We start from the raw sequence: 12,603 nt of genomic DNA, 5'->3' as shown, positions 1-12,603 counted from the left end.
ATTTTCTAATATCACATTAGTCATTTGGAAAATACCAGTTCACTCAGTTTTGAAGATATTCCAAATATTCACATATTTCATAATACAATATCAAAAATACATTTGCTAATACCATGATTCATCTCACCAGAAAAGTCTTTAATTATTGAAAAGCTGTCAAGTTTATGATGGTGAATACCAATTTTCCAAAATTCTAATTTTCACTTGACAGCTTAAGTTTATCATTGGCAAAAATAATACTGTTATTTTCCTTGAAGTGCTCACTTTGTTCATTTTTAAGAAAAATGCCTGCTAAGTATGCAAGTCGGCATAATTATATTTTGCCAATAATTCTTTTAAATAAAAAAGTATTTCATAAACCAAAGTAGCTCATTTGACTTGAAGCTTAAATAATCACACAAGTGTTTTTCTTTGAGCCAACCAAGTGCTTTTCTTTGTGTCCGTGTGTGTGTATGTGTGTGTGTGCCCCTGGTTGTGTGGGTGTGTGTGTGTGTTCCTGGTCATGTGTGTGTGTGTGTGTGTGTGTGCCCCTGGTGCCTCTCTTTGTGGGTCCAAATTTCCTCTTATAAAGATACCAATCAAATTGGATTAGGTCTTACTCTAATGGCCTCATTTTAACTTAATCACCTCTTTTAAGGCTCTGTCTCCAAATACAGTCACATACTGAGGTTAGGGCTTCAACAGATGAATTTGGGGTTGCAGAGAGGACACATTCATCCAATAATAACCAGTAAGAATTAGAAGGTTAGCTCAGAAAAACAAACAGAAGAAAATAATAAAAGAAGCTATATGAAAGCATTCACCAGGGACAAAAGATATACATTTCTAAATCTAAAGGTCCCACCAAGTCTGTAGCACAATAAAATAGAACCTCATGTGGATATGTCATTATGAAGTTTCAAAATAATAAGAAAAAGAAGAAAACCCTGAATAATTTAAAGTGGAAAAAACCATGTTACCCACAAGAAATAATAATCAGACTAACATCAGACTTCTCACCAGCAACACTGGAAGCTAGAAGACAGTGGAATAATGCCTTCAAAGTTCTAGAAACAGAAAAAAAGATATTTTGAACTATAAATTCTCTACTTAGACAAATTTCTACTTAAATTGAGGGTGGTTTAAAAATATTTCTGGACATTCAAAACACAGAATTTATTTATCTATTTATTAATTTATATTTGAGACAGGGTCTCACTCTGTTGCCCAGGCAAGAGTGCAGTGGTGTGATCACAACTCACTGCAGCCTTGACCTCCCCAGGCTCAAGTGATCCTCCCACCTCAGCCTCCTGAGTAGCTGGGACCACAGGCATGTGCCACCATGCCCAGGTAATTTTTGTATTTTTTCCAGAAACAGGGTTTCTCCACATTTCCCAGCCTGGTCTTAAACTCCTCAGCTCAAGCAATCTGCCTTCCTTGGCCTCCAAAAGTGCTAGGATCACAGGCATGAGCCACCACATCTGGCCCAGAATTTATTTTTAATAAACATTTTTGGTGGGAAAGCAATTGAAAATGTGCCTAGCAAATCAAAGGAGTAAAACAATAACAAGGAAGATGCAGTTCCCAAAATTGAAAGCAGTGAGGAAGGCCCAGAATGATTACTGTGCAGCCTGTGGACAGCAGTTGTTCAGAGGATGCACAGCTCCGGGAGAGAGGGATCTGAGGGAAATGGAGGGAGGGTATTTAATAGAATGCCTATTTCAACCAAGTATTTGAAAAAAAGTTAAGGATGTAATAAAAGCAAACACCACCAGAATAAAAAAGGAATTTGAGACCAAAAGAAAAACTTAAAAGCTTTACAAGGAGAAAATATAATCATAGTATAAAATCAGGCTCTGCACAAAACAGTTAATGCCGGCTCTGACCCACAGATGAAACAGGAATTAAAAGAAATTAAAGAATGTGTAAGCAAAAACTCAGTTGTAAGTAAGAAAACCCAATTCCACCTGAGGAGGAAAAAGAGGTGGCGTCCTTTAAAAATTAACTGCCTGTTTTTCTGTCTGTGGCTAGTGAGCCTTATCTCTCCCTTTCCCAGGCATTGTGAAGACGCTGTTTCTCTAACTGTGCAGCTGCAAGGTCACTAGGCAGATAAACTCAAGTGGTAAAACATGTTTTTCCTTGAAAAGTAAGAAATGATGTAATGCATGTCTCAGTTGAATAACTGTCTTTGTTTCTCATTTCTGTAATATGCTTCCCCCTGCACAGATCTCCCTCCACCCCATGAAATGCTTAAAAGGTAACCTGACTCTTTGTTCAGGGCTCAGTCTTTTTGGATGTTAATCTGACTGGGCTGGTGCACCTAAATAACAATAATAATAATAAATCCTCCTCAACCCCTCAGTCTCTCTGATTCCTAAATTATCCCACTGCACAGACCCTGGCCAAACGATGGATGAAAAAATGTATGCTGACACAGGTATTTTGCCTGACAGCGTGACTAGGGGACTTCACTGCTCAGCACCGCAGGTGAGTCCAGCAGCCGAGACTGAAGCCCCAATAAGCCAGTGATGTTTGTATTTATTTAGTACAGAGGCTTTGAGTCAATACTACTTATGGGTAATTAACATGGTGGCGCCCTTCAGCCAAATTATCTTTCAAAGCTTTTGCAAAACCTCCTGGCCTTCCAAGAAGGTTTGCTTCTTTCTACAATTTTTATAATTTTTCCCACCACCCTGACCAAACTCCTACAAGTTAAAATAATTTTCAGCTCTTAGACTAACCCCATAGAACAGCAGTTCCCAACCTTTTTGGCACCAGGGACCAGTTTCATGGAAGACAATTTTTCCATAACTAGGGTGGGAAGATGGGGGCAGCATTAGTTTAAGTCTCATAAGGAGGATGCAACCTAGATCTCTCACATGAGCAGTTAACAATAGGGTTTGTGCTCCTATGAGAATCTAATGCTGCCACTGATCTGACAGGAGGTGGAGCTCAGGTGGTAATGCTCGCAGCCACTCACCTCCTGCTGTGCAGCCGGGTTCCTAACAGGCCATGGACTCATACTGGTCCACAGCCCAGGGACTGGGGACCCCTGCCATAGACAAAGCACAGAAGAGAGTTATGGTTTCAGAACAGAATGTAAATATTATCAATCTTAACAATATAAAAGTTCAAATGATAGAAATTGGGAAGTGGAAGGCAGGAAGGAGAGCTAAAAGGAAGGATAGAAGTGCAAATGTTCCCATCTTTCAAGGCGGAGAGTGAAAAAATACTATTATTGAACAAGAAATAAAGTGATTAGTTTATGACTTAAAGTTTCAAATGATACTGATTTTTAAAATGAAAGCATGATATAACTACATGAAAAGGTTGAGGGAAGGGGGATGTAGGATGGTAAAACCTTAGATCAATGGCAGAAATTCAATAACTAATATCTAAAATTGATCAATCAAAAAACAGAAATGGAAACATCTTATTCAGAGATATGGAAATTAACACCAAAATAAATAGTAAAAAGATTAAAAGTGGCTATCCTAGGGAAAAGGACAGGAGTTAGGAAAGAGTGAGGCAAGAAACTGTGGCTTTGTATCACAAAAGTTCTACAGTATTTTGACTTGTTAACCAGGATAAGTTATTTTATAAATTTTTTTTTAAATTTTAGTGGATTTTTAAGCTGTCTCTGGGATCACTGACACATTTCTTTTGGCCCTTGTTTCACGTACAGATCCCAGTTCTCATGGGCAACTTCCAGATCCCAACACCAAGAAGTCCTTGGGCACAAGGACTTCTTTTTATCTACCACCTTTTTATCTACCTTGTTGTGAACCCCATAAGCAGTGATGTTTCCATGATCTTCCGTGGGTCAAGGGCCTTTAATAACATGTGGTATTTATATGGTACCTTTCATCCGAAGACTACAGTGCAAGGCATGACATTCTCTCACTATGTTCCTATGGGGAAGGCAGAAGACAGGGGCGATTAACCCTATGATACATACAGGAAAACTGAGACAAAGAGCTCTTATAACCAATCTAGTAGGTTGGTTCTATTACTCAGAATTAAGGGGATAACTGCTGAGCCTTAAGGATTATGGAAGACTTAACCTGCAAATGATTCTTTCTGAAGACATGTGTCAGTTGGCTAATTATGGGCTTCATCTTCTCCCTTTTTTAGTTGAATGATCCAGGGGCCAGGGTGAAGCTCTGGGAAAAGGGAAGTAAGTCCCAGAGAGTGAGTAACGATGGGAGAAGTGAGAAAGAAAGGCCTAGTTAATTGTGGGCTGTGTCTTACTCACTCACTAAATTGATCAGAAATTATTTACGAAGCCCTCTCTTAGGCTTTCAGTTCCATGCCTGGTGCCAGGAAGAATACAAGGAAGGAGCATAGAATGAGTGCCATTTTGTCAGTAGCTTACAATTTCCTTGGATCCACAAGAAATACGTACATTGAACAAGACGAAAACTAATGCTGGGAGGTAGAAACAGAACAGTCAGTGTAATAAGATCCTAGGGGAAAGTAAGGTGAGCAAGGGCTTCGACGGACACTTTTTCTACCTGTGTTTCTTCATTGAGCACCCATAGTCGCTGGGTGTGGTGTTAGAGGCTGCAGATTTGACACTCAGTCCCTGTTCCTATGGGCTCATAGGCCAACGTAGCTGAGAGAAATAGTGCAGCGGGACGGGGTGGTCTGGAAAACCTCCCAGAGCAAGTAACCTCGATAAATGGAGCCTAACTACAGAATGGATGCTGTGCCTGTGAAGTCAAAGGAGAGCTCTGCACAGAGGGAGGGGGCTGCAGATATAGGGGAGGGTAGCAGAGAAAAGAACTCCAAGAAGGAAGGAAGGCTTGGGCTCAATTTAAAAATACTTTTCTGAGGTCCCCCAGATGCTTCTCCTAGGCCAGGACTCTTCCCTTCACTAATACTGTTTTTGCCTAATTGAAGTTAAGGAAAGCACTCCTCCTCCATTTCCTCCATATTTTCTTTCCACTTTCCTTTTCTATCTTTCTCTTCCTGACTTTTGACAGTAGCATCAAGAGAATGTCTATTACCTAAAAAATCTGCCAGTCTTTCCATTTTTTGGTCATTTGTTTAAAAACAGTATTCCTTATTAAGAATATTTTCATTTGTGTGTGACTTCATTGCCCACAAACTGCTTCTATCACCACAAAATTACATCTTAGATATGACAAGAGACACAATGTCAGGTCAAGGGCTTACTTGCAAATCAACAGAGGGACTCCAGGTGAAACTCCAGTTAAATCAGGCAATGGAGCTGTCCAACTACCCAGATGACCCAGGAGAGCAAAAGTCCACGTGGCCTTGGGTTTCAGCAAGGAAGGAGTGTGCAGCATTCCCAGACCCCTTGGTGCCCATGACAGAGGCCAGGAGTCAGAGGGTTGGGACAGCAACTCAGCTTGATTGCTAAGCAGGAATACTCTTCACCTGCCTATGGCCAGGACTCCGGGCCAGAGAAAAGGAAATCACACAGAGTAATGCCTGTCATCAACTGCAATCACATTCTCCACATAGCAAAAGAAATGGGTCCCCAGTCTCTCTTTTCCCAGAACAAGAACAGGTGGCACCTGGCAGCATAACTCGGTGGTTTCTACATGATGGCCTGGTCCTAAAAACCTTTGACATCCCCAGCTTCTCAATGCCCTCCCTCTACTCCCTTATTCTGCCCGTTCCTTGCCCATTCATTCATGCTAAAGATCCAAACTCAGGTATGCTCTCCTCATTACTCAAGACAGGGCTGACCACGTAAACAGAAGCAGATCCCCAGTCTGTGCAGAGCTCGTGCCGAATGCTGGAGCCCAGCCACACACCACCGCAGACCTGACGCCAGCCCCCAGCGGGGCAGCTGTGCTGAGGTTGGCTCCTCAGGGCCACCTCTTGTCTTTACTGCAAGATATATTCTGATTCTTCTAGTGTGCCCAGTGGTAGCTTGTTACATGACTCTGCTCTCCTAGAGAGTTACATGAGTCTCTGCTCTCCTAGAAATAGATGACTGATGTTACTACTCACAGTAAATAAGTTATTATCAATAAATATTTTATCAGTTGTAACTGATATTATCAAAATCATAAATACTTATATTGTAGTCATTACTAATGGTAGTAAATTTAATTGTTTCATAACAATCCTTGTAGAGTTAATGCATATGTCCCTGAGCCCTCAGGATATCAAAATGTTGTTTCTCAGGCATAATATTGTCTTAAGTAATAAAATTAGAAACCATAAATCTATGTCTTGCTGCTCTTTTCATCCAGTTCTCCTTACTTTGCCAGGGTTTTAAGTTCTCACAAGGTTTAGGCTCCCTTTAATGGTCATATTTGGTTACAAAGAAGTTCCTCAGGTTCACCCAGAAATCGGATCTGATCTGCCCCTTGTGGGGCATTTAGTAGCCATGAACAGGGTGTGGTCTATCAGAGGCGGTGCCTCCTATTAGAGGGAACTAGAACCTGAAAAGGTAAAACTCAACCCAAATTCCTCTCGAATCTTTGGAAAAGGAGTGAACATTTAAAAATTTTTAAAACGTGAAAGTTGTTTCAGTAACTTATTAGAGAGGTCGAGGTGATGAGATTTTCATGCTTGATCCAGAAGAGCAATGAAATCATAACTTAACATGAGACAGATCACTAGAGCCTTGGGATAGCAGGGGTGGGAGAGGACCCACGGTCCATCTAATTCATCCGCCCACTTCATCTTCTTTTCCGTCCACCACATCCACCAGGGGAGAACGCCGCCTCCCCAGTCAAAGAAGACAGCAAACAAGCCAACTGTGCTTGGGGCAAAACTGGAGAAGAAGGTCCTATCTATCTATTCTTTCTCTGTTTAAAGTATTATATATATTCTTAATTTTCTATTTAATTATCTAATTTATTAAAGGCAAGCGAATTACACATATGCAGCAAAACTGTAACTAATAAAAGCAAAATCACTATTTCTGAAGTTATTTTCCAGACTGCATCTTCAGTGTCAATCCTGAAAATGATCCAACAGGACTGCCGTTTAAAACATAAGAGACTGTCCACGTGTTTGTCTCTGCTTGTTCCTGGATACTTCCTCCAAAAACAGAGTAAATTAATTTAAAAAGGCAAAAGGAGGGAAAATGAGATCCCAGAGTAGGAAGATGTCAATGTATTTGGGGAAGATGAAAAGTAAATGAAAGTGTGGTACCTAACTTAGAAGGGGAAAGGTGAGTTCTGAACACCTGCAGAGGACACCAATGTGACTCCATGGAGTCCAGACACACAGTCTGGAAAAGCTTAGGAACTAGAAATAATTTGTAAGGTCAGAGTGAAGGACAGAGCTGAAAACATCTTGTGACTCCAGCATCGACTAGGACATCTGCATCCAGTCAGCAGACAAAAAAAAAGAGGGTGTAGAATCGCACATGAGAAATTTCTATGGGCCAAGAAGTAGCACACATCACATCAGCCTATATTCTACTGGCCAGAATTTAATCACATGGCCACACTTACCTCCAAGGGAAGCTGGGAAAGGTGATCTAGCTCTGTGTCCAGAACAAAAAGGAAACAGGTTTTGGTAATCATGTACCAGTTTCTGCCACAGGCTAATTCTAATTGCTAGAGCAAATCATAAAGTTCAAACAAGGAACATACCACTTTCATATCACTTATATCTTCTCCGTGCTCTATTACGGGGTGCTCACTGAATACTGAGTCATAAACCAAAATACCTCTGAGAGGTTGCTTTGTGTGCTTAACAATAATATTGTATAGTGTTTACTCTGTGCCAGGCATGGTTTTAAGTACGCTACATACACAAACTCATTTAATCCTCCCAACAACCCTGTGAAGGAGATATTATCCTCCTCATCCCCATTTTACAGATGAGAAAACTGAGGCCCATTGAGGCTGCATAACTGGCCCTGATCACTTAGCAATTCAGCAGCGGAGCTGAGATGAGAAATCAGCCAATCCAGTTCGAGTCCACGCTTTTAACCTAAATTCTTCTACTCCAAACTGACTCTATACAAGATCAATAGGAATTCCCCAAGTTGAAAGCAGGTGTTTAACGTGCCTCTCAGGATCAGGAGTTGTCCTGATATTCGTGGCTCCTTACAGTGCAGGACCATTTTCAGCTTGGGCCTTAGCCAGGAGGTTCTTCTCCCACCATAGAGCAGCAGTGAATGCGACCATGACACCAATCACTCAGACTAAAGAGCTACGTTTGTGGGGCCCGTATTCAGGCTCTGGCATGGCTCAGGGCACACTGAAGGAAAGCCAGCCACGTGGCAATGCCCTGGGCAGAGGCAATCATAACCATTTGCTCCGAGAGCAACATTAAGGACTCAGGAGTCAGCTCTTTTTAGCGTGATATGAGCGGGTAGCATTTATTGAGCATTTAACCCACCTGAGGCCCTTTCACGCTAGTTTGTGACCAGCATCTTTCTGTTGATAAACATGACTTGCATGTACCAGGAACCTTTAATCCTCACCACAATCTTATGGGCTATGAAATAATCCTGCTATTATGATGATCCCTACTTTAGAGATAAGGACACTGGGGACCGAGAAGTTACGTAACTCACCCAAAGACATACAGCTAGTAAGTAGCAGTGGCAGAGCAAGGCCACTCATGTCCAAAGACTTTTTTTTTTTTTTTTTTTTTGAGACAGAGTTTCACTCTTGTTGCCCAGGCTGGAGTGCAAATGGTACAATCTCAGCTCACTGCAACCTCCGCCTCCTGGGTTCAAGCAATTCTCCTGCCTCAGCCTCCCAAGTAGCTGGGATTACAGGCGCCCGCCACCATGCCCAGCTAAATTTTGTATTTTTAGTAGAGACAGGGCTTCATCATGTTGGCCAGGCTGGTCTCGAACTCCTGACTTCAGGTGATCCACCCTCCTTGGCCTCCCAAGTGCTGGGATTACAGACATGAGCCACTGTGCCCGGCCTGTCCAAAGACTTCTTGCTGTTCAGCAGCAAAAAAACATGAGCTGTGTGGAAAGTGTAGAAAAGGATCAAGGGGGCCTGGGAGAAGGGGAACTCAGACTGGACCCCAGGGAAATGTCCCTAGCTATGAATTTATGTTTTTTTAATTGTTGTTTTGTTTTGTTTTGAGACAGGGTCTGGCTCTATCACCCAGGCTGGAATGCAGTGGCATAATGTCAGCTCACTGCAACCTCTGCCTCCCCGGCTCAAGTGATCCTCCCATCTCAGTCTCCTGAGTTGCTGGGACTACAGGCACACACCACCACGCCAGGCTAATTTTTGTATTTTTTGAAGAGATAGGGTTTCACCACATTGTCCCCGGGCTCAAGCAATCCACCCGCCTTGGCTTCCTAAAAGGGGATTACAGGTGTGAGCCACCACACCTGGCCTGTGCTACTTCTTGAGTGAGATGGAACTGGAAATGTAGAAGTCTATATGGAACTCAGGTCTGGTTATGCACATATTTTGTGTTTATGCAAATAATTATACCACCTAAATCTCTCTGTTATGTCTATAAAATGCCTCCTTGTATTGGATCAATGTCTGGAGAGGGAGGACCTGGACCATTGAAGTCAGAGAGAAGCAGACCTGATAAGCCCATCACCCCCAGTGATGTTTTAACAAGTCGGATGTTTATGGGTGTTCTTTGTGTTTCATATGCCAACGTGTATAATCATGAGTACACATGAATGTGTAATTATGTGTGCAACACTTGCATGTGAGTGAAACAAACATATCCACAACTGGGTTAAAGTGCCACATCTTTCATCTATTAATTATAAGATCTAGTGCAAATTATTTATTCCATCTGAAGCTCAGGTTTCCCCTCTATAAAAGAATAACTTACCAGATTGCTGTATTAAATGTAACTAAAATCTCTATAAATCAAAAAACTTGATTCAAGCATGTACGTTATTATAGGTATATGGATCCGTGTATAAAATGCATCCTTTTTTTGAGACAGGGTCTTGCTGTGTCACCAGGCTGGAGTGCAGTGGTGCAATCACTGCAACTTCAACCTCCTGGGCTCAAGCAAGCCTCCGCCTCAGCCTCCCCAAGTGCTGGAATTGTGTGAACCACCACACCTGGCTAAAATGCCTACTTTAATGGCCTGCTTGAAATTTTATCTTGTTACTTCTGTCCATGGTTTTACAAACACCAGTGAGACTTCTCTGTCTCTCCTTGTGATATGGTTTGGGTGTTTGTCCCTTTCAAATCTCATGTTGAAATGTAATCCCCCATTATCCTTAGCAAACTAATGCAGGAAAAGAAAATGAAATGCCACATGTTCTCACTTATAAGTGGGAACTAAATGACGAGAACACATGGACTCAAAGAGGGGAACAACAGACACTGGGACCCACTCGAGGGTGGAGGATGAGAGGAGAGAGGAACAGAAAAAATAACTATTGGGTAGTAGGCTTAGTATCTAGTGATGAAATCATCTGTACAACAAACCCGCATGACGCAAGTTTACCTATATAACAAATCTGCATGCATATACCTTTGAACCTGAAATAAAAGTTTTTAAAAAAATAAATGAAATCCTCAGTGTTAGAGGTGGGGCCTGGTGGGAGGTGATTTGATCATGGGGGTTGATCCCTCATGAATGGTTTAGCACGATCCCCTTGGTGATAAGTGAGTTCTTGCTCAGTTAGTTCACAAGAACTTTGGTTGTTTAAAAGTCTGGGACCTCCCCTTTCTCCGAGTCTCTTGCTCCCACTCCCTCCATGTGACATGCTGGCTCCCCGTCACCTTCCGCCATGATTGCATGCTTCCCGAGACCTTCACCAGAAGCAGATGATGGCACCACACTTCCTGTAAAACCTGCAGACCGTTGAGCCAAAATAAAACCTCTTTTCTTTATAAATATCAACCTCAGGTATTTATTTAAAGCAATGCAAAAATGGCCTAATATGCCTTTTCTGCTCCTAGAAGCACAATCATTGGAGAATGATGTTAATGCTACTATTTGAAGAAGGTTTGCACTATTTTTGATCCTGAGGAACTGTGCACTCTTGAGGAGAACCATCAAACAGTATAAAGAGATATTTGGTACATCAGGCACCACAGAACAAATCACAGAGTCTCAGCTGGGGGACTTGTGTTTAAATAAACTCATTCAAAGGGCCAGCAACCAAAGATGTGCAGGCAGTGGGTCTAATTATCTGCTGGGTTCACAGTCTACTGTTCCACGATGGGGGAAAAGGCCTCGAAATTACAGCTGGTTCTGTAGCTGCACTCAAAATCACTCGCAGGGAAAGAGAGGCTGCAGGGCCAGAACCTTAGCACAGGTGGGGAGCACAGACCAGCTCAGGGGTGCATGCCTCCCAACCGAGGACCCACTTAGACACGTTGAGGGCTTGACGGAGCAAATAACCAGTGTCCTCTAAAATATGTGTTCACTATTAGATAAAGTGTTATTTCTACTTTATAGACAAAGAAACTGCAACCAGAAGAAGTTCAAGAATTTACCCTCAATCACACAGATAAAGCACCTAGCACAGGGCCTCTACATTGGCAGGTGTGCCAATTATTTCTTCGGCAAATAATCACAGCTCAACAAATGACACTGTGAGAGAAAGGGTCTTTGGCAAGATTGAGAAGAGAGTCTGAGATTCTGTTGGCAAAATCATGCCCAGATACACCATGCAGAGGTGCCCAATATTAGTGATCTCAACTACAGAGACCAAAAGACTTAAGAGTTCTCATCATCAGCATCACTGCCCACTCTGTCCACTTGGTTGCTGCCACTGGTCCAAGGCTTCATCAATGAACAAAATGAATGGAACCATTGACTGAGAGGCAGGGCCCTGGGAGGAGGTTGGGGAAGGATGGTCACAAATAAAAGAATCTTGGGCCAGGCGCGGTGGTTCATGCCTGTAATCCCAGAACTTTGGGAGGCCGAGGCGGGCAGATCACAAGGTCAGGAGATTAAGACCATCCTGGCTAACACAGTGAAACCCCATCTCTACTAAAAATACAAAAAAATTAGCTGGGCGTGGTGGCGGGCACCTGTAGTCCCAGCTACTCAGGAGGCTGAGGCAGGAGAATGGCGTGAACCCGGGACACGGAGCTTGCAGTGAACCGAGATCGTGCCACTGCACTCCAGTCTGGGCCACAGAGCAAGACTCCATCTCAAAAAATAATTAAAAAATAAAGGAATCTGAAGGAAAAGGAATGAAGAAGAAAATATATGCTCACCCTGGGTGAGCTGCGTTGACCAATAGGCATCAAAATGGAAAAAGAAGTGATTTACACCATTAACCTCTTGCAGAGGAAAGCAACTTCAGTAAAAAAGGAAGTTTAAAATTATGATACAAGGCCAGGTGCGGTGGCTCACGCCTGTAATCCCAGTACTTTGGGAGGCTGAGGTGGGCGGGTTACCTGAGGTCAGGAGTTCAAGACCAGCCTGACCAACATGAAGAAATCCCATCTCTACCAAAACCACAAAAATTAGCCAGGCATGGTGATGCACGCCTGTAATCCCAGCTACTCAGGAGGCTGAGGCAGGAGAATTGCTTGAATCCGGGAGGCGAAGGTTGCAACGAGCTGAGATCGCGTCATCGTACCTCAGCCTGGACAAGAAGAGCGAAACTCCATCTCAAAAAAAATCTATATATGTATGATACAGCCAGGCCTCTGGAGCTACATATCTGATTATAGAATCACATGGTTCCATTTTCTCAAAGGTTTTAGCAATATA

General features: G+C 42.5%; 1 pseudogene; it reads left to right on the top strand.

Annotated features, from left to right (window-relative positions):
- The first annotated feature begins 8,103 nt into the window (after positions 1–8,103).
- The window catches only part of LOC101060084 (uncharacterized), a 103,851-nt pseudogene continuing 99,351 nt past the window's right edge, over positions 8,104–12,603 (top strand).

The sequence above is a fragment of the Homo sapiens genome, chromosome 11 (genome assembly GCF_000001405.40).
Source record: "Homo sapiens chromosome 11, GRCh38.p14 Primary Assembly".
Lineage (NCBI taxonomy): Eukaryota > Metazoa > Chordata > Mammalia > Primates > Hominidae > Homo > Homo sapiens.
This window is presented reverse-complemented; position numbering and strand designations above follow the sequence as displayed.